Source organism: Homo sapiens, chromosome 7 (genome assembly GCF_000001405.40).
Source record: "Homo sapiens chromosome 7, GRCh38.p14 Primary Assembly".
Taxonomy (NCBI): Eukaryota; Metazoa; Chordata; class Mammalia; order Primates; family Hominidae; genus Homo; species Homo sapiens.
In genome coordinates, this window is record NC_000007.14 from 17,319,666 (window position 1) to 17,342,768 (window position 23,103).

Sequence of the window (23,103 nt, forward strand, 5' to 3'; positions counted from 1 at the left end):
CTTTCTTACTCATTGTTTTCTTTCTAATCAGCACAAGCAATATATACATGAAAATGAGTAGTATTGATAGAGCCTCTAGTAATTTACTAAGTTAGAGGTAGTAGGCATGAGAGCAAGAAATAGAAGAAAAACTTCATGCAGGGGTAGACATTACATAGTTTAGGCTGAAAGGCCATGACATAAAATGTTTCCTGAAAAAGCACAGCAGTGTTTTTTTAAATGATTTTAAAAGTCCACCCTTCTCAGACTCATCTTTGCACAATATTTACTTCAATTATTTACCAGTGATTAACCTTAAACACAAGAGCAACAGAAATATTTGCATATTTGTTTTTGGTAGAAACCTCCAGTGATCATTCCGCCAAATGAACTTGTCACTTTTCCTACTTATGTAGTAGTTACACATATTATCTATCATCCTTCCAACATTTGGAATTATAAGCATTGTTGTTTAGAAAGAATTTGTTCTTTTTATTTTTTCTCTACTTCAAGTTCCTGTAATACTTTAATTAAACCCTATTCTGGTACTTAGTATTTTTGACATTGTTTTCTAGTTATTTCCATAGCTTATATCCCCTACTTAAAGACAGGGTCTGACTCAAGTGTCTAATTACATTGGCTAATACTCCCAGTACAAGCCCAAGAACAAATTATAAATTACTCTAAGATGAATGGTCTCTTTCATTGCTTAGTCATCTTCTCAGTGATCAAGTAGTTATCTCTTAATATTTATGTTTTTCTACTGCCAGTGACTCTAGGTGGAACTAATATCAATTGTGTTGATTAAATATTAATTTTAAGAGATTCCAAACAATAATTTAGATATATAAAGTCTGACACTGTTATTGTCCGTTTTTAGGCTTATTTCATAATGTAAGGGTTTGGCTTTGTTGTTTTCTTTTTAAAAGCAAGTGTTACTGATGCTTCATACCAGAGCTTTTAGAAAAGTAACAGAATATAGTTGACTCTGACGTTGTATGGTTTTAGTGCATTCAAGCAAATGTGGCCATTAGTAAGCAAGCAACAACATAACTTACCGAATAGAAAGGGAGAAAAGGCCATTCTCTCTTCTGCCATTCTCTCTGTGTACAGATTAAACATTTCCTTTGGTCTTGATGAACTGTTAGGTCAGTTTACCTCAAACTGTTTTTTGGCCTAAGGAAATCTGTTCTCTGGCCTTTTGAAGTTACATTCAGAGACCGTGCTTTTGGCTGTTTCTTGCAAAGAGATATGTTTTAACTTCTGCAAAGGCCAGAATGGCATGAGATTCTGGTGTGACACATTCACTGATGATTTACCAGAAAATACACTGCAAATATGAAAGACTGCAGACAGGTTTTATATGTGGAACTCTGCTCAGACTGAGAGAAAGTCTAGTTATTAGTAAATCTCTAGTTTTTTCAGAGCTGGATTATTTTGTCACATAAAAATATAGTGAGATAAATGTTAAGAGGACTGCCAGAGTCAGTTTTATTTAATGGTTTCTCTTATTCAAATATCACAGGTTAAAAGAAGGTCAGAAAGTGGCAAGTATCTAAAAGATTATGCTTTATAACCAAGCAATCCATAAGCTCTGAGAAATATTTCTACTAATTACAGCTACTGTTTGTTGAACAGTATTGATCCACTATGTGTCAGAAACTTTACATATATTCTCATTACTCTTCACAACAGCCCTGCAAGATGTGCTTTAAAATTTTTTTTTTTAATTACCACCTCACATATTAGGAGACAGGCTCAAATAACTCCCACTTTTAGTAAATGTCAGAGGTAAGGTTTGAGCCCAATTCTGTCAGTTACCAATATCCACATGCTTTTAAGTGAGATAATATTTGAAAGTGCTTGGCAAAATGTTTAAGTGGTAGCTGTTATTATTTCTATTCAGCTGCGCTTCCTCCCAGACTATAAATACATACATACCACACACATACACACACACACACACACACACACAGTGAGGAAAAAAAAGAAGAGATAGCATTATAACATGACACCTCCAATAGTAAGCATCCTATCATGCCATCAGACTTTCCTTCACATATATAATCCACAAGCAGTTAAAAGCTATACCGGAAAAGCCACTTTACAAGATGTAATACCTAGGAGTAAATATAAAGATACCTGTGCACATCTTTTTTGTAGACAACTTTAAAACATTCTAGCAGGACAAAATATAGACTTGAACAAATGGAAAGAAATGTATGTTCTTGGATAGAATGATTCAAGATTATAAAGACATTAATTCTCCATGAGTTAATTTATAAATTTAACATGAACCTATTAAATAGTCACAGTAATTAACAGTTTTTACCCAAATGCTGGACAAGAAGATTCCAAACATCAGAAATCCATCTCTCAATAAGGTGTATAGTTGCTTTTTTTCTCCTCACCACCACCAGTTCCCTAATATTTCAATAAATACATAAAAATGTTGGATTCATTTTTATAGGTTACATTATGGAGAACTTTAGTCTCCTAAGAAAGGAGGTAGGAGTGGAGAGGAGTGTTTGTAACAGTGTTGTGCAGTTCTTTGAAACTCCTAAGTTTTGTGACAAAATTATATCGTGAACTCATCAAAAATTATTTTTAACAATCTGTCAGCTGACAACTTGACTAAACCCTTCAGTTTTGTTACTAGCATAGAATAAGGAGCTACCCACTGGCAACAGGATTACTTACCTAGTATTTATTATTTACCTTGTTTTAGCCAAATACTAAAAATACCAGTGGATGCCAGTATTTCAAATTGTCTTTGTTTGGTGTTCAGAAGTTTTCTATTATAGCTCTTTACTCTTGCTTACTTTTAAAATCATTGTTTTTCCTTTTTTTCCATAGTTGCATTAAAATCCTCCCCTACTGAAAGAAACGGAGGCCAGGATAACTGTAGAGCAGCAAATTTCAGAGAAGGCCTGAACTTACAAGAAGGAGAATTCTTATTACAGGTAAATTTTAGTAAATATAGTTTCTTACACTAAGGACAGTTGTAAATGGAAAATGAATTAATAAGTCTTTTAGTAATTCCCTGTTTACTTAGGATTTGCTCAATGTTTTTTGCCACTTTCATCTGAACTGCGATAGTGAATGATGCTTAATACATGAAAAACTGGAATTATAGTCATGCACCATATAATGATGTTTCAGTTAACAACAGACCACATATGCGACAGTGGTCCCGTAAGATTATACCATATTTTTTACTGTAATTTTTCTAGTTTAGATACAAAAATGCTTACCATGTGTTAAAATTGCCTACAGTATTCAGTATAGTAACATGCTGTACAGGTCTGTAGCCTTGGAGCAATAAGTTATACTGTATAGCGTAAGTGTATGGTAGACTATACCATCTAGGTTTGTGTAAGTACACTCTATGATGTTTGCATGATGATGAAAATCACCTAACCACATATTTCTTTGAATGTGTCCCTGTTAAGTAATGCATGACTGTATATGAAGTAGATTAGTTAGAAGACCGGTCAACCCCTTCTGTTGTATTAATATTTCTTCAAACAGCAAGAACTCCTAGAGTATTTTAGAGGTTCTAATTTAAGATGTTGAATTTATATATATTTTTATGGAATGTATCTCTATTAAAATTGTTAAATGCATTTCTTAAATAGTTTAAAATAGTTCTTAACCCAAATTTCATTTTGCCAATATGTTATAACTTACATTTTATTTTAGCAACTGTTTGTGACTTATTAACATACTAAAGATTTTCTCAACAACTCCAATCCCTATTTTTATGCTTCAGAATTTAGTTTCTAATTTGTCTATGAAAGCATTTTGCATCTTTTTTTACTCTTTTTTTTAGAATTGATGCCATGATTGATTCTCACTTAAAATTCTCAGATACTTATTTTGTTGAAAAAAGATAGAATAAAGATGTGTGCCATGTGTGCTGTCACCGCTATGTGATCATTATCAGTTTCACCCACTGAACTGACTAGAAAAACTTCACCATTGTTACAAAAAGTAACCCTAAGTTTCGGTAACTCCACTAGTTCATTCAGTGGATGGTGATGTGCCTAATAATATAACATTTTTATTACAATTGTGTAATCACATTCAAAGTCCTGTTAGCAAAAATTAACTTATGTTAAACAAAGTAAATCTATTAAAGCATGAGTCCTCCCCTAGCCCCAACTGAGGATCTTCATGTATATGTAAACCCAAACATAAAGACTCCTTATTCAGGTCATAGGAAAGCATTTTAATAATTGCTATTTAAGATGATTAAACACACCTCTTGGGTTTTCTACTAAGGGCCTAATGAAATCCCGTATTTCAGGTGAAATAGACAGATATGTACTGATTGACGTAACACTTGGCAAGTTGGTTTAAATTATGGGCCATTTTTATTTTTTTCCCAAAACATTTAGGCAAATTGTGTACATACCCTATGTCAGGGAAACAGAATAACAATAATATGAATGCAAAGCTGTAAAGCTATAATTATATGGAATATATATATTTTAAATTATCTGCAAATTGGTAACCCTTAAGAAGTTAAAATAAACTTACCTGTTTATATTGAATACCATTTGTAGATTGCTCTTTTAATAGGAAGACTCACATTCTCTATGATTTTCTTAGGATTGTGCTTATATGTTATCTTTTTATGAAGAAGATGACTAAAAACATTATAGATATGTGGAAATGGCTGTTTGATTATAACAATTGCATAATGACATCTGACTTTATATTGCAACCGACGGTTATCAGCCAATTACCACTACAGTGTGAAAGGTGTTACCAGAGGTTCTGTATACCATATGGCCTAAAACTTTTGAGGAGAAATATTTTCCTTTGCTTAACAAAGGCATATGAAGAAAATGTTACAAAAATTTTTATTAAAGGCCAGGTGCGGTGGCTCACGCCTGTGATCCCAGCACTTTGGGAGGCCAAGGCGGGCAGATCACGAGGTCAGGAGTTCAAGACCAGCCTGGCCAACATAGGGAAACCCCATCTCTACTAAAAATACAAAAAATTAGCTGGGTGTGGTGGCGGGTGCCTGTAATCCTAGATACCCAGGAGGCTGAGGCCCGAGAATCGCTTGAAGCCAGGAGGCAGTAGTTGCAGTGAGCAGAGATCACACCACTGCACTCCAGCCCGGGTGACAATGCGAGACTCCATCTGAAAAAAAAAAAAAATTTATTAAAAGTTTAAGACATCTTTCTAGGTTAGCTTCAATTTATTACTATTTTACAAGGAATAAAAATGAAACAATGTGAATAACTGTGTCTTTATTTACTTCACATGTTTATTTCATAAGTTTAAAATATATCTCTTGCTATTTAATACTGTATTGTTAAAATCTTGCAGCTTTGTTTTTCAGTGACAGGAGTTGAAATTTTATATAACAGTATTGCAGTTTCTCTGAAATAATAAGTGAGCTTAACAAAATTTTCAGATAGGTTGAGTGAATCTTTGTGACTAAAAGAATGATGATCTCTTTTATTTAATTAGCATATTAATTCCTTCTGTTAATTTATTGAGAGAAATCAATACAAGTAATAACCTTGGGTCTCCTGGTACTTGAGATCATTTGAGATATATAAAAATTGATGTGCATCTATCGTTTCTAGATTTTTATTTCTGATAATAACATTTGTCTAAAGAGATTTGATAACTGTACTTAAATTATCCTTCTGTCTTCTGGCATGTACACCAATGAGTTTATTGGAATGTGACTAAATTTGTTTCACTGTTTGAAAAAGTATGATGTTCTACAAAATAATATGAATGTGATCAATGGATAATCTTCCCTAGAAGCAGATATTTTCAGGATGAATCAGTGCAATGACGGATATATAGTGTTACTGCCAAGAGAATTTAAGAATATCCAATTTTGAATGTGTTAGTCATTAACTATTCAAGTTCTTATGGGTAGAATCACCATTGTTTATCCTAAGAGAATTGCCAGGTATTACATATCATATTTGCAGTCAAAAACCTGAGAGCCTGCTTGTGGTTAAAGGGACATGGATGGAGCCGGAGGCCATTATCCTTAGCAAGCTACCACAGGAACAGAAAAACCAAATACCACATGTTCTCCCTTATAAGTGAGAGCTAAATGATGAGAACACATGGACACACAGAGGGGAACAACACACACTGGGGCCGTTTAGAGGCTGCAGGGTGGGAGGAGGGAGAGAGGATCAGGAAAAATAACTGATAAGTACTAGGCTTAATACCTGGGTGATGAAATAATCTGTACAACAAACCCTCATGACACAAGTTTACCTATGTAACAAACCTGCACTTGTACCACTGAACTTAAAAGTAAAAAAATAGAACAAAACAGTCAGAACCATGCACCAATTTGGGATCGATAACACATAAAGGCAGCATATCATGTTATTTAAGTGAGTACGCTTTGGAGCCAGACTGAATTTATCTCCTGGATCAGCCATTTTCTGGCTATGTGACCTTGGGCAAGTTACTTTTAAAGGTATAGTCCTTGACCTCAGTTTCTTCTATTGTAAAACTGGAACATGGCACTTACCTCATTGGGTTTTTGGGAGAAGAAACCACTCAAATACATAAAAACATTTAGAAAAAGGAATACTAAATAATAGTTGTTATCTTTGTAGTCAAGTTCTTAGAAGTATAATATAGATCAAGAATCTTGAAGGTGGAAAGTAATTGGAGTGGAAAGAGAGACAGTCACTGTATTTCATTTATTTCATCTGATAATGAAGATATCGACTGGACTATATGTGAGCAGCATAAGCACTAGGGCAAAGACTTGTTAACTCTTAAATCCCAGTACTTAGCATACATATCTCCTCTTGGGTATGTAATAGTTTATTACGTGTTGAATAAATGAATCACTATTATTTATATAGCTCTTTATAGTTCTCAAAGCATGGTGATATAAATCTTTATTTGCTCATTTCTACAACCATATAACATTGTACCTTATTACACTGAGTGCTGGCTCTGTGCCAAGCATTGAGTTAGGTGGGATATCGTCATTATATCTACCTGATGAAGTGCCAGTTTTTGAAATAACACTGAAGCCTAAAAAGCAGTAAATAGCTTAACCAAAGCCACACAGCTAGTAATAGACAGAGACAGGAGTCCAGACCAAATCTGTCTGACTACACAGTACAATTCTTAAACTAAACCATACTGTGTTTCTCCTTACATGAAAAACAGGGTGTTAGAAGACATTAGCTGTGATCACATAGTAAAGAATAGATCAAGTACCAAATTGAACTCAAGGAGAAAATAGTGAGGGCTTGTAGAATTAAAATATATGATAATAATAAAGTGATCTATGATACTATTGTTATCCAAGAGGAGAATAAAGGTATTAGTTGATATTGGACTTGAATTATCCAGTAATAGGAAAAGAAACTATAACATCCAAACTAAAGAGTATGGGCTAATAAAAAATAATGGACCCAAAGTAGGCAAAACAGAGAGAAAAAGAAACATTATACATGTGAATGTGCTGTGAACAAATAGAAATAACACATATAAAATGATAAATTTAGGTATGTGTTCATAATGACATTAAATTTTAGTGGACTAAATTCACTGTATGCTTGCTTTACATGTGTATTATAGTTTAATTACATGTATATTTTATATATATAGTGTTTTCCTGTAAAAGTCTTAAAATGTTCTGTGACTTAAAATGTTAGCATCAGTGCTTGAAATGTCTTTGTACAAGAAGAGTTTTCTATTAATGTTCCCAGTTTAAGAATCTAATCAACATCTTTGCCTCCTGTTTCCCTCTAAAAAAAAGCAGTGTGATAGACTATAGTGAATGATGTCTAGTTTGTTTTTTAAAAAATATATACAATATATTTAAAAGAGAAAATCTGAAACATGAAGAAGATGAATTCCATATTCTACCAAAGTTATTCTGATTGAGCATTAAATTTAGCCATTTTTCCATAGACAAATCAAAAGGTATGAATAGATATTTCTTAGTCCAGGAGTGTATGTTTTGGCTGTGTTTGTGAAATGTGACAATTTTAACTATTTTGAAGAGAAGAATTTTCAGAGATAAAAGTAATAACCTTTATCTGATGGTCAATATTAAGTCATATTACTAATTTTAGAACTTCCTTTCCTTGTAGGCTCTGAATGGCTTTGTATTAGTTGTCACTACAGATGCTTTGGTCTTTTATGCTTCTTCTACTATACAAGATTATCTAGGGTTTCAGCAGGTAAGTATATATTATTTATATCATTTATATTATTATATCATTTACTTTTTATATATATTTAGGACACAGTTGGCCATTTGTATGTATAAAGTATCAATATATGCTGTAGAATACAGTATGTATTTGTAGCTAATAATTTTTTCTAATATTAATAATTTACTGCACTATAATTCCTTTAAACCTTTATGTGATTCATGGTTACTGTGTTTCTTCTTTCGCTTATCAAGAATCTTATATATAAGAAACTTTCAGGCACGTAGGGTCTAGGGGAGAAGATACAAAATTATTTGCTATCAAATAACTTATGGATAGCAGAGGATATATGACAACTATGAAATGAATGAGATGCTGTTAAAAAGTACAAGTAAAATCCTATGATTTATACCTTTAATTCTGATTTATTTGGATTATGGAAGTTACCCTAAATCAAATGGTATGTAAGCTGACCTAAATAATGTGTAACAGGTGGGTGGTCAAGAAAACATAGGAATATTGAAGTACTGTAAGCATTAGACTGGAAGTCATTGAAGGAAACAGACGTGTCTGACTTGTTTGATGTTATTGAATGAACAGTGAATAGATGGAATTATAAATATTTGATATATTGGAAGGGCAAGAACATCTTTTATGGTTTGAGAACAGATTGTAACATTTGAATGCTTGCTATTCTCATATATCTGGTTCTCAAATTGTACTGTGCACAAGAATCACCTGAAGACCTTGATAAAACTTGGTCATCCCTGTGAGCCCCATTGTCAGATATTCTGAATCAGTAGTTCACAGTGGGGCCCATGAATTTGCATTTCTATTAAGCTCACAAGGCTGCTGGTCTTAATAACAGTTATATAGACTAGAGCTTCAACTATATTATATACCCAGTGGAAACCACTGAAGGGTTTTGTTACAGGGGGTGTGTATATTTCAACTTGTGTTTCAGATGCAACTTTTGGAAATTGTGTAATGGTTGGCATCAAGATGATTTAATACTAGAAGATTAGGTTCCTAGGAAGATTTAAGTGTAGATGACTAAAGTAGTGGTATCTAGCTACTACTGCTACCACAAAGTCTAAACTCCTGATTTCTTGCATTCTAAAGAAAATACATTAATGTCCATAGAAAAGCCTGTTTGAAGCCTAATGTATTATATAACTGTCTTAATCAGGATTTGATATTGTGATTTATATTAGTAAGAAAATCAGAGAGATTAGCCATTTTCCAATCCATTTTTTTCTCGCATATACACATGGATTTTTTTCCTAAAAGAATATTCATATCTGACGCAAGTGGTAGATTAAGACACCATTTTTAAAACTGCAAGTTATGACTCGCTCATGGGTATGCAGTCGAGACAGTGGATCACTATCAAACTGTTTTTTAGTTGTTTAGGATAGAATAAAATAATATAGAATACACAGTGTTATCTCATGTAATAATGGTAAGTGTTTTGTGAAACTTTTCCATGTGTTTATGTCTGTGCACACACCTGTGACAGATGGAAATGTATTTTTTATCATAACTTGCAGTTAAAAAAAAAGGAAAACTCTGGTTTAAGCACTAAGGACTCAGCACCGTAGTAAATGGTGAGAGGCAAGAGAAGGAAAGTGGGTTTAATATGGTAAAGGCACAATCCCTTGCTCTTGTGGAGTCTACTTGGAGTGAAAATTTTATATGAAGAAAATTTTAGAGAACAGTGAAGGAAATACATAAAGAATACCATTAAGCTTAGAGAAGTCAAAGAGGCCTGGGGTGGTTAGGAAAAGCTGCATGGAAGAGATAAGAATCTAAAAACTAACAAATGAATATGGAACATAAACAGATTTTAATATGTTGCATTTAAGGAATGGGGATGTGACTTATTTGAGCAAGAGCATTCATGTTGGGAACTGATGACAAGTAACTTTTGGCTTATCTGTTGTAGTGCCAGTCTCTTTAGCTTTTTCTACCTTAGGTTCTATCTTAGGTGACTAGGGAATTTTAGGAATCATTCAATTCGTATTCATCACCACTAGCAAGCACCCACTAATCTAAATAGGCTTTAAAATTAATTTAGCCATATTTTTTAATCAGTCCTTTTGTTGTATTCCTTGTATCTTTTTTCTTTAGTCTGATGTCATACATCAGAGTGTATATGAACTTATCCATACCGAAGACCGAGCTGAATTTCAGCGTCAGCTACACTGGGCATTAAATCCTTCTCAGTGTACAGAGTCTGGACAAGGAATTGAAGGTAAGAATTGATGGTACAAAAAATAGTGTTGGTAGTTTTTAAATATGAGTCTGTGAAAGGAGGCTGGGAACCTGTAGGGTCATAGAACTCCATGATAGGGAAGTAGTGGAAAGATGTAAAGTCTGCAATCATAGGCCACAGCTAGGTCACAAAGAGCCTGATGAGCTAAGGAATATTTTGGCAAATGAGAGCCATTTAATGAGTTTCAGGCAACAGAGTATTGCCATAGTCAGTAATGTATTTTATAAAAATAAGTAGTACCTTCATGAAAGATGGAAGGAAGGTACAAGGTTGATACCTGAGTGCATGTAAATTATTGTGTTTAAAATGCACCAAAGAAAAAAGTAAGCTAGCATATGCAAGTATAAAAATGCTTTTCTCAATGCAAAAAATGTTTTTGGAAATTTGTTAAAGTGTTAAGAAAACAAAAATGCATTAGAAAATATGAAAATTGTTGACAGTGATAGCTCAATAAAAATTTAAAAAATTATGCAAGTTCTATCTGATAAAAGTGATATTTAATAAACTTTTAGTTTCTTGTCATTAGCTCTTTTGAAAATGATTTTTTTGTATTCAGAACACAGACTCCAGTTTAGAAACTAATACAAATTTTACCTATTCAAGTGCTTAATTTTACAGCAAAATGGAAAGTAAATTTTGTTTTGCCTTTATTTCTACAGAAGCCACTGGTCTCCCCCAGACAGTAGTCTGTTATAACCCAGACCAGATTCCTCCAGAAAACTCTCCTTTAATGGAGAGGTGCTTCATATGTCGTCTAAGGTGTCTGCTGGATAATTCATCTGGTTTTCTGGTAAGGTACAAAATTTTATGATACTGGCTTTTACTATTGTTACAATAAAAGCTTGAGGCAAATTTAATTTAGCAAAATATAATTCAGCAGAGAACTATTCCCAAATCAGGCAACCCTCAGAACCAGAGAGCTTCAGAGAGCTCACTTAAAAACATGGGCTGGAGCATTTATGAACAGAAAATGCAAGTGAGGTACAGAAATGGCTTGATTGATTACAGCTTGGGATTTGCCTTATTTGAAGATGATCTGATTAGTTGGCCACCTGTGACTGACTGAGACTCAGCTATTTGGTTACAAAAGTTTAATTCTACTGTTAGGCTTTCCGTTAGCTTATATAGTAAATGAAGTTGCAATTCCTTGGTAAGGACTTAAGGAGCAGAGGCATCTTCAGCCCAAATTTAGTTTAACATTAAGTTATAGAAAAAACAAGCCAATTTTCTTTGGTTATCTTTGATTTCAGCTTTAAAAATCTGCTACCAAATAATTTGATAAAGGAAAGTAACATTTTAAAGTAATTATTTCTGATTTTGACTATCTTCTATAACTCAGAAAACTGTTCTTTAGGATATAGTAACAAAAATTGAGTGAAATAACACGAAGCCTTGTATTTTGACTATTTTAGGATTTTTAAGGTATGAGAGAATTATGTAGCCCTTTTTTAATAGGAGGATGCTTACCATCTTGGGATTGAATGCCTGCTAGACAGAGAAATTATGGCCTTTCCATATGTCTCAAATAACTGCCACATAGAAAAACGATTGTATATTCATGATTGTGGAATCATCATTTGATAGGAGATGCTGTTTTCTTGTTACAAAGTCTGAACACCTGCATAGGAGTTGACTGTAGGGAACAGCTTAGGATTCCTCAGAGTGGACTTGTCTGTTATCTCATTGTATCCTTAGCTCATGTTACCAAGTACAGGAGAAGAAAATACAAAGTATATTGTATATTCTTTTTGTGAATAACAAGGAATTTGAAACAGATAATCAAATCTTAAATTAACATTACCAAGCAATGATTTTTGTTTATGTGTTTATTTCTGAAGAGGATTTTGCTGACCCAGAATTAGAATTATGCTTTGAGACAGTTTTCCCAGTGTTATTGCTCATGAACAATTAGTATGTAGAGTCATGTCCTGCATAATGATGCTTTGGTCAATAACAGACCATGTATATGATGGTAGTCCCATGAGATCATAATGGAGCCGAAAAATCCCTATCACTTAATGATGTCATAGCATTGCTCACATGTTGATGGTGATGCTGATGGAAGCAAACCTGTGTTGCCAGTCATATAAAAAGTATAGCACATACAATTATATATGATACATAATACTTGAAAATAAAACAATAATAAATCACTATGTATTTACTATTAATCATTATTTTACTTTATTTTTAAATGTATTATACTTTTAATTATTTTATTTTAATCATTATTTTAGAATAAGGTTAACTGTAAAACAGGCTCAGGCAGGTCCTTCAGGAAATATTCCAAAAGAAGGCATTGTTATCACAGGAGATGACAGCTCCATGCATGTTATTGCCCCCGCAGACCTTCCAGTGGGACAAGATGTAGAGGTGGAAGATAGGATCATTAATGATCCTCACCCTGTACAGACCTAAGCTAATGTGTGGGTTTGTGTCTTAGTTTTTAACAAAAAAAGTTTAAAAAGTAAAAAAATTAAAAATTAAAAAATAGAAGAAAGCTTATAGAATAAGGATATAAAGAAAGAAAATGTTTTTGTATGGCTGTACACTGTGTTTAAGTGTTATTACAGAAGAGTCAAAAGTTAAAAATGCAAAAGTTTATGAAGTAAAAATGTTACAGTAAACTGTGCTGGGATTACAGGCATAAGCCACTGCACCTGGCCAAAAGGAAAATATTTTTTATAAATTCAGCGTAGCCTAAGTGTATAGTGTTTATAAACTCTATAGTAGTGTACGGTAATGTCTCAGGCCTTCACATTCACTCACCACTCACTCACTGACTAAACCAAAGCAACTTTCAGTCCTGCCTACCTTGTTTACAATAAGTGCTCTTATACAGGTATACCATTTTTTGTCTTTTATACTGTATTTTTACTGTATATTTTCTATGTTTAGATACACAAATACTTACCATCATGTTACAATTGCTTTAAGTATTCAGTACGATAGCATGCTGTACAGGTTTGTAGCCTAGGAACAAAAGGCTATACTGTATAGCTTAGATGCGTAGTAAGCTATACCATCTAGGTTTGTGAACCTACCCTCTGATGTTCACAGGATAATGAAATTGCCTAAGGACACATTTCACAGAACATGCCCCTTTTGTTAAATGACATGTGAGTGTATGTCTGAGGTGGAATATCTGTGTGCAGGAGGGCCTTTTCCTCCTTGTGCTGCTATTATTTTGATGTCAGAACCATCCCTTGGACTGGTTGATATTGTTTTAAGCAATTAAATATATCATGTTCATGTTTAAGTGCCTTTGTTTTCCCTGTCTTCTAAATTTCTTCCATATCTTTACTCAGTAGGGCTCTGCATTCTTTATATGTTTTCATGATGATTCATTTTAGTGTCTTAATAAAATTATATTTTGCCTCTATAGAAAAGATTATGAACTATGCAGTATGCTATGAGCTGTGATATAGTTCATGTATGCTTGAAAATGAATGTTTACTTTAGGACTTTATCACCATTCAGGATATATTGATTGCCTGGTGTGCAAGGAGCTGTGTGAGGTGAAAATGATAGGGTAATGGCAAGCTTGGAAAATGATATAGGTTTTCATGTTATGACCATTAGGAACAAGGAGTGGTTCACTTATCCCTTTAGAATATTTTTCATATTACTCTTTGAGATAGATTTAATGGGCGTCCCATGGAGAGAGGAGTGAAGGAAACTAACAGTTCTCAGCTTCAGGAATATTTATGGAATTATCAAGAACCCTAGAGGCAGCCATAATGGAGCCTTTTAAAAAGGCACTATTTTATATTGTTAATTTTAATGAACTTTTTTGTTGTTGTTGCTTTTTTAAGGCAATGAATTTCCAAGGGAAGTTAAAGTATCTTCATGGACAGAAAAAGAAAGGGAAAGATGGATCAATACTTCCACCTCAGTTGGCTTTGTTTGCGATAGCTACTCCACTTCAGCCACCATCCATACTTGAAATCCGGACCAAAAATTTTATCTTTAGAACCAAACACAAACTAGACTTCACACCTATTGGTTGTGATGCCAAGTAAGTGAGACTTTTTCACTTTTATTTTATTGGATGTACATTATGTTTCAGTAAGTCTCTCTTAGCATGTAAAACATACAGTGTATGTAATATTGTTTATTATTAGATTGGCTATTATCGTACATTCTTCCAGTGTAGCCTTTTACAGTAAAATAATTTAATCAGGCTCACAAATCATCTTTTTAATTTTTGCAATACTTGTCTCAAATGATGATGTTCTTATATATTAGTAAGGTTTATTCTTCTGATGACATTTATGTTGGTTTGTTTTACATTTTTAAATGGCACAAATGTTATTTGATTTCTAGCCCCAGAAGTTTTAGTAACTTTCAGAAAATTGTGAGCAGGAGTCTGATATTAAACATTTATATCATATCAAACATATCAGTGCTTTTCTCCTTTCTAATGTGGGAATGCAGAGAGGTAATTAGAAAAACCTTCTTCCCTAAAAATAGATTATAAAAACATTCCAGATTTTTATTAAAGATGTTCTGTTACCCATACATCTGCTCTATTAGATTCATTTTTAGCATACTAATTTCCATGGATTTATTCAGGAAAAGAAAATAGGCTGAAACTGAAATTTGCAATCATAAGCAAAGAAGATCAGTTTACATGGATGTGTTTAATTTCACATCTACTTATGTGAAATTCTAAATGTGAACTAAAACATATTGCAGAAACTAGCGTAAAACCAATGAATTTATCTTGGTTATTTCATTTATGTTAAATCTTAATCCATTCTTATTTTACCTTTTTTTATTTTAAACAGAGGAAGAATTGTTTTAGGATATACTGAAGCAGAGCTGTGCACGAGAGGCTCAGGTTATCAGTTTATTCATGCAGCTGATATGCTTTATTGTGCCGAGTCCCATATCCGAAGTAAGTTGTAGTTCCTTATGAACATGTCAGAAGAAAACGGCATATACTGTTGTACATGTTTCAAATTCTTACGTAATGTAAAGTGTTTAAGTAAAGTATATGGATAAACTTCTACTTAGTAACATATCATTATGATTAACCAGGGTTACACTCTTTGTTCATTAACTTGTCTACACCTGCCATGTAGAAATATTGTTGTTTAGTTATTAAAAAATGACCATTTTGGCCCATGAAGTTTTGCTTGGGAATTTTTTAATTACATCGTTATCAATTCATAAATCTATGTTAATATTGTAACAATAATAGTGTTAATAATTCTAGTTTAAAATTATAAAGTATTAGGCTGTAGGAAAATATTCCCTATTTAAAATGAAAATAATTTTTTCCCCAACTTATGTTCTCTCTATACTTTCCTGTGTTACTAGAATTGTTTGGTACATAATCTTCCCTTTAACATTTAAAATAATAAATTTAAAACAACTCTGAAAAACTATTTCCATGCCTTTTATTATTTTTTGTTTAAAATTTATTGTCTTTGGGGATAAAGGAAATACATCCAGAACTATGTCACAAGAGCTTTGTTTTAGGAATAATCTTTACTATATTGATTTGGGGGTTTGATAATTTAATTTTTTAATTTTATTTTAGTGATTAAGACTGGAGAAAGTGGCATGATAGTTTTCCGGCTTCTTACAAAAAACAACCGATGGACTTGGGTCCAGTCTAATGCACGCCTGCTTTATAAAAATGGAAGACCAGATTATATCATTGTAACTCAGAGACCACTAACGTAAGCACAAATAATGTTTCCTGTTTTAACAGTTTTGTTTTCATAAGTCCTCTTATGTGAAAGCATAAAAATAATTCAAGCAGACTTTAGTCTGTAAATAAAAATTGAAAAGTTTAATTCATCTAGAAAGAAGAGCACAGGTGAGAGACATTGAGAAGATAGAATTGACGAACTTGATTGAGAGCTACATGTGCAGAGCTATAGAAAGAATAATAAAACTCTAGGGTTTTATCTTGGGCATATGAAAGACACATGAAAAGCTAGTGTCATTGGTAAAAAAGAAGAAAAATATAACAATGCTTTATTTAGAATATATTCTCTAAACCCAGCAGTGATTTTAAGAGTTTCTTACACATGCTGCAGATGAGTCCTTTATCAAATATTTGTATTGCAAATGTTTCCTCCCACTCTGGAGAATTGATTTTTGTCTGTAGCTTGAGGTAAGGATTGATTCCCCCCAGCCATTATACGTATACCCAATTGACCAGTAACATTGAAAAGATGATTTACCGAGAAGGTCATTGTTTCCCGGCTGCGCTGTATTTTGATCAGGGGATTTTGTCTGTGGTTCTCTGTCTGGATTGTGTTGTTCTATTAATAGCTCCATTAGTGCAGTTGTCTATTTTGTCTAGCATTACACTGTCTTAGTTATTCTATCTTTATTATATATTTCTATGTCAGAGTGTGTCATTTTGTTTGTTTTGCCTTTTTTGTTCTCCTTCAAGATTGCCTTGGTTCTTCTTTGCCCTCTATAATTCCATATACATTTTAGAAAGCAGTTGTCTGAAAATCTGTTGAGATTTTGAGTGCAATTACCTTGAAACTGTAGATCATTTGGGGAGAATTAACATCTTTTTAATACTGAATCTTTGAGCCCATGAACATGATGAATGTATGTATGTGTATAAGTACCCATGGAAGTACATGAGTATGTGTGTACCATATGTATATGAGTGCATGGGTATGTGTGTACCTCTACAAATTTGTCACTTCTCCCTTGATCAATGTTTCTAGAAGGCACTTTTTTTAATTAGATTTTATTAGTCTTTATTAGGATCCAACTTTTGGTTTATTGATTTTTTTCTATTTTATACATTTGTTTTCAATTTTAATTATGTCTGCTCATTATTATTTTCTTCCTTCTACTTTCTTTGGGTATAATTTATCATTTTTTGCAACTTTTAAAAAATATATACTTAAACATATATATCAGTTTCCCTTTAAGTACAGCATTACAACCCTCATCTTTTGCTATCTTATTTTTATTATTTAATTGAAAATACTGGCTAATTTGTTTTTATTTTTATTCATGAATTATTTAGAAATACAGTGTTACTGTACTTTTTGGTGTTTGGGGATTTTTCTAGTTGCCTTTTTATGATTGACTTTTAGCTTAATTCCATTGTAGTCAGAAAATATTCTCTGGATGGATTTCAGTTTTTTTGAAATTTGTGGTGACTTATTTTATGATCTAATACATGGTCTATGTTGGTAAAATATCCCATGTAATCCTATGAAGAATACATGTTCTGTAGTTTGGGAGTATCTTATTTTTATATATCAGAAGTCTAGTTTGTTAATTGTGTTCATATTTGTATACATTTGTTGATATTTTATGTGCTTCTGTTAGTTACTAAGACATTTTGTTTTCATTTATTACTGAAGGGGGGCATCTTTTTACATCTTTCTGTTTTTTTTTTTTTTTTGAGATGGAGTCTCGCTCTGTCGCCCAGGCTGGAGTGCAGTGGCGGGATCTCGGCTCACTGCAAGCTCCGCCACCCGGGTTCACGCCATTCTCCTGCCTCAGCCTCCCAAGTAGCTGGGACTACAGGCGCCCGCCACTACGCCCGGCTAATTTTTTTGTATTTTTAGTAGAGATGGGGTTTCACCGTTTTAGCCAGGATGGTCTCAATCTCCTGACCTCGTGATCCGCCCGCCTCAGCCTCCCAAAGTGCTGGGATTACAGGCGTGAGCCACCGCGCCCGGCCCTTTTTACGTTTTTCTATGACATTTTTCTTTTATAAATTACATTTGTATCATTTACCTGTTTTTCTGTTGAGTTGTTTGCCTCTCTCTCAGACTCTATTGGAGCTCTTTATTATGGATATGAAATTTTATAAGTATATTAAATTATAAATACATTATGTTACAAATATTTTCTTTAAAAATTCTATTGCCCGAGGCGGGCGGATCACGAGGTCAGGAGATCGAGACCATCCTGGCTAACACGGTGAAACCCCGTCTCTACTAAAAATACAAAAAATTAGCCGGGCGTTGTAGCGGGCGCCTGTAGTCCCAGCTACTCGGGAGGCTGAGGCAGGAGAATGGCGTGAACCCGGGAGGCGGAGCTTGCAGTGAGCCGAGATCGCGCCACTGCACTCCAGCCTGGGCGACAGAGCGAGACTCCGTCTCAAAAAAAAAAAAAAAAATCTATTGCAAAAATACAAATACTTTAATATTAAGTAATTTTCATATTATTATGCCAATCTGTCTTTATAGCTGCTGGGTTTTATTATAGAGGTTAGTTGTTTCAGATTCTTAACTTTCTAATTCCTAATTTTTTTATTTTTTTATTATTATTATTTTTGAGACAGGATCTTACTCTGTCACCTATGCTGGAATGCAGTGGCACAAATGTGGCTCACTGAAGCCTTAACCTCCAGGCTCAGGCAGTCCTCCTGCCTCAGACTCCAGAGTAGCTGAAGACTGTAGGCATGTGCCACCATGCCCAGCTAGTTTTTATTTTTTTGTAGAGGTGAGGGTCTTGCCATGTTGCCCAGGTTTGTCTCAAAATCCTGGGCTCAAGCAATTCACACACATCAGCCTCCCAAAGTGCTGCAATTACAGGCATGCACCACCATGCCTGGCCCCTAAATTCTCGTAGTCTGTTTTTATGTGTAGATATTTATTCCACACAAATTTATTATTTTTTTCTTTTTTTGCAGGGTGTCAGGTAGGGATGTAACCTGACCATGGAATTAACTAAGTTATTTTTTAAAAATTAAATCATTTAAATATGCTTGTCTGAAAAACAATTTTATAGCACCAGTCATGAGAATAATTGAGGTGAAAATAAAATATGTCCCTTTCTGAATTCAATTACAATGTATTTTGCTTTATGTTTTTCTTTTTTAAATTATTTTTATTTTAAAATGTTTGATAGAATTTTTTTCTAAGACTTTTTTGTACACAATTTTAGAGATGAGGAAGGAACAGAGCATTTACGAAAACGAAATACGAAGTTGCCTTTTATGTTTACCACTGGAGAAGCTGTGTTGTATGAGGCAACCAACCCTTTTCCTGCCATAATGGATCCCTTACCACTAAGGACTAAAAATGGCACTAGTGGAAAAGACTCTGCTACCACATCCACTCTAAGCAAGGACTCTCTCAATCCTAGTTCCCTCCTGGCTGCCATGATGCAACAAGATGAGTCTATTTATCTCTATCCTGCTTCAAGTACTTCAAGTACTGCACCTTTTGAAAACAACTTTTTCAACGAATCTATGAATGAATGCAGAAATTGGCAAGATAATACTGCACCGATGGGAAATGATACTATCCTGAAACATGAGCAAATTGACCAGCCTCAGGATGTGAACTCATTTGCTGGAGGTCACCCAGGGCTCTTTCAAGATAGTAAAAACAGTGACTTGTACAGCATAATGAAAAACCTAGGCATTGATTTTGAAGACATCAGACACATGCAGAATGAAAAATTTTTCAGAAATGATTTTTCTGGTGAGGTTGACTTCAGAGACATTGACTTAACGGATGAAATCCTGACGTATGTCCAAGATTCTTTAAGTAAGTCTCCCTTCATACCTTCAGATTATCAACAGCAACAGTCCTTGGCTCTGAACTCAAGCTGTATGGTACAGGAACACCTACATCTAGAACAGCAACAGCAACATCACCAAAAGCAAGTAGTAGTGGAGCCACAGCAACAGCTGTGTCAGAAGATGAAGCACATGCAAGTTAATGGCATGTTTGAAAATTGGAACTCTAACCAATTCGTGCCTTTCAATTGTCCACAGCAAGACCCACAACAATATAATGTCTTTACAGACTTACATGGGATCAGTCAAGAGTTCCCCTACAAATCTGAAATGGATTCTATGCCTTATACACAGAACTTTATTTCCTGTAATCAGCCTGTATTACCACAACATTCCAAATGTACAGAGCTGGACTACCCTATGGGGAGTTTTGAACCATCCCCATACCCCACTACTTCTAGTTTAGAAGATTTTGTCACTTGTTTACAACTTCCTGAAAACCAAAAGCATGGATTAAATCCACAGTCAGCCATAATAACTCCTCAGACATGTTATGCTGGGGCCGTGTCGATGTATCAGTGCCAGCCAGAACCTCAGCACACCCACGTGGGTCAGATGCAGTACAATCCAGTACTGCCAGGCCAACAGGCATTTTTAAACAAGGTAAGGGTGTTATCAAACTGAATTAAATCTTTCAGTGATTCTTTTTACCTTATAGACATGTTACACATTTTTTATGTCAGCTGATTTTAATCGGTTATCTACAGCATTCATGGAGACAGCATTTTTTATTATATCTGTGACTACCTTTTTTTTTTTTACAAGCCTGTACTTTTTCCAGTATGTTACTAATATATCATTCACCTGATTCATGAGGGAGAAAGATATCAAGGAATGAAGCAACATGAATGTGTCCTTAATATAAGATGACCTAAATTACCAGGTGAAATTAGTTTTTAGAAGTATTTTGTTTAAAATAGATAATTTGGTTTATTCTTTCTGGATTCTTTAAAAATTATATGGCTATTTAAAAATTCAAGCTTTAAAAAACGTATTGCAATTTTTAAGAATAATTTCTTCAAAGCTCTATTTTTTTATATATGTTTGAAATTGAGTTAAACTCAAATTTAAGTGTGCTTTCTTACAATGCCTCTGAAACCCTAGATTAATTATATCCCTGGAATTCAGTCCTAGGCACCTCCATGTTCTCTAGCTATTCCTCCACATTACCTCCCCTATCCTCATCTCATCCTTTAAGGTAGAATGGCTTTCTTTTCTGGCTTTCTTAAAAGAGGTAACTCAGCTGGCTTTCTGTCATGGAAATCAAGCTTGATAGTGCATTTTTGTTGTTTAAATGTGTCATCAGAATCCGTCTGGCAGTGAGCACACTTTAAATCTAAAAATGATCACTTAAAAAAAAAAAGTTAACATAATGTCAGTAACTGCTGTCTCTGGCCACTCAGGAATACATCATGTTTGCATTTATGCTTTTTCCATTAGAAAATATTTAGTTCATTTTAAAGTATATTTAAGTTTAGTTTTAAAGAATATCTTGACTAAAATTAAGCTCCTTGACCCCTGTTTACTCTGTATTAGAGTATAATAATTAAAAGTATGACCTGAAGCTTTATCTTTAATTGTATTTTCTGGCTTTTTCATACATTTTGCTTGTCTAATCGTATATGAGCTTTTTAATAGAAAAGGACAGTGAAAATTTTTCTTATTCCTTACATCCTTCAATTATATTAAAATTGAATAATATTCAGTTATAGTCCGTCTCACAAAATTGCTATGAAAGTATATTTTACTCTTGAGTAAAGCAAATTGTACAGAAGTTAATTCTGTAAAATTACATTTTGAATAAGGAGTTGCATGAGTACCACATAAGTTCTTTGCAGTGTTTTCCCCTCACTACTTTTCACTGCTTCTTTGTAAATAACCAAATAATTCTATAGACCTACATATGTTCCAGAGTACATGTTATTGAGCTAAGACACTCAATATTGAGCCACTGAGTAGCTGTTCAGCACTTGAAATGTGGCTAGTCCAAATTGAGATGTGCTGTGTGAAGTACACATTGGATTTTTGGATTTTGAAGACTTGGCTTGAAAAAAGAATGTAAAATATCTCATCTTTTATTATTGATTTCATGTTGAAATGATTAGTTTTTTCAGTAGCCGCATTACAAAAGTAAAAAGAAACAGGTAAAATTAACTTTAGAAATGTATTTTATTTAATCTACTGTAGCCAAAAATTTAAGTTCTGTATGTGGCTCACATTATATTTCTATTGGATTACACTGCTGTGTACAGTATGTTTAAAGAGAATGGTGACATGAATTGTGTTATGAGTAATGAGAAAAAATCATTTTAAACTCACCATTATCTGGCCAGGTAATACTAACTTTTTATTTAAAGAATTTACAGTGTTGCCATTCATTGAAGATACAGGTTATATGATTTTTACTATAGATTTTATATATGTTTTGGAGGATCTGTGAAGTAATTAACATTTTGATTACTGAAGCCAGTTATGTAGGCTTTACAAAGGTAGATTTTATTTGAAGCAATTAAGGATATGATTTTAATCTGTTTTAAAGTTTCCAGAACGTCCACTAACTAAAATATAAAGGCTCTGTAATCTATAAAACTCTACAGAGCTATACATCTTCATGTCCTTCCTTTTTATTTTTCTTTTTTCTACTAGCAGTTATAGAAACCAGATTCATTGCAGTGTAAGAAAACAAGACAGAGCATTTTCTTTTGGTAACTTGATTCTGTAATTAGAACTATGCTTTCAGTAGTATTCATTAATTAAAAGTATATTATGAATAAGAAATCGGTTAAGAAAATCATACCTGTGGTGTAATATTTTAGGAATATTTAGAAACATTTAGAAAATCAGAAGCTGCCTTTTTTGGAAAAGTTTTGCATTCCAGTGTAAGATTCCTGAATATAATCAATTCATTGATACCTATAACTTCAAACCTGGTCAAAGCAAACCTACTTATGATAGAGAATATTTAACTGTAATTTGTGACTTGTGCTGTTTGACCCATCAATTCCTACCTGACCCAAAGGCAATCTGAAATGAGACAGCTGCATCACTCATCTGTACCATGTTCAAAATTTCCTGTCAAATTAATGGAAAAACAGGTTATAAATGCAACTAATACATAATATGTCCTCAGTATGTCTTCACTG

General features: G+C 33.5%; 1 protein-coding gene across 1 annotated transcript in view; it reads left to right on the plus strand.

The window, feature by feature from the left end:
- AHR (aryl hydrocarbon receptor) overlaps positions 1-23,103 on the plus strand; it is a 47,496-nt gene that overhangs the window by 21,014 nt on the left and 3,379 nt on the right. Inside the window, exons 3-10 of the mRNA NM_001621.5 lie at positions 2,836-2,942; positions 8,094-8,183; positions 10,287-10,410; positions 11,091-11,221; positions 14,247-14,449; positions 15,222-15,331; positions 15,980-16,121; positions 19,321-20,563. Coding sequence (NP_001612.1) covers positions 2,836-2,942; positions 8,094-8,183; positions 10,287-10,410; positions 11,091-11,221; positions 14,247-14,449; positions 15,222-15,331; positions 15,980-16,121; positions 19,321-20,563 — 2,150 coding nt within the window. The remainder of the gene's footprint in view (positions 1-2,835; positions 2,943-8,093; positions 8,184-10,286; positions 10,411-11,090; positions 11,222-14,246; positions 14,450-15,221; positions 15,332-15,979; positions 16,122-19,320; positions 20,564-23,103) is intronic.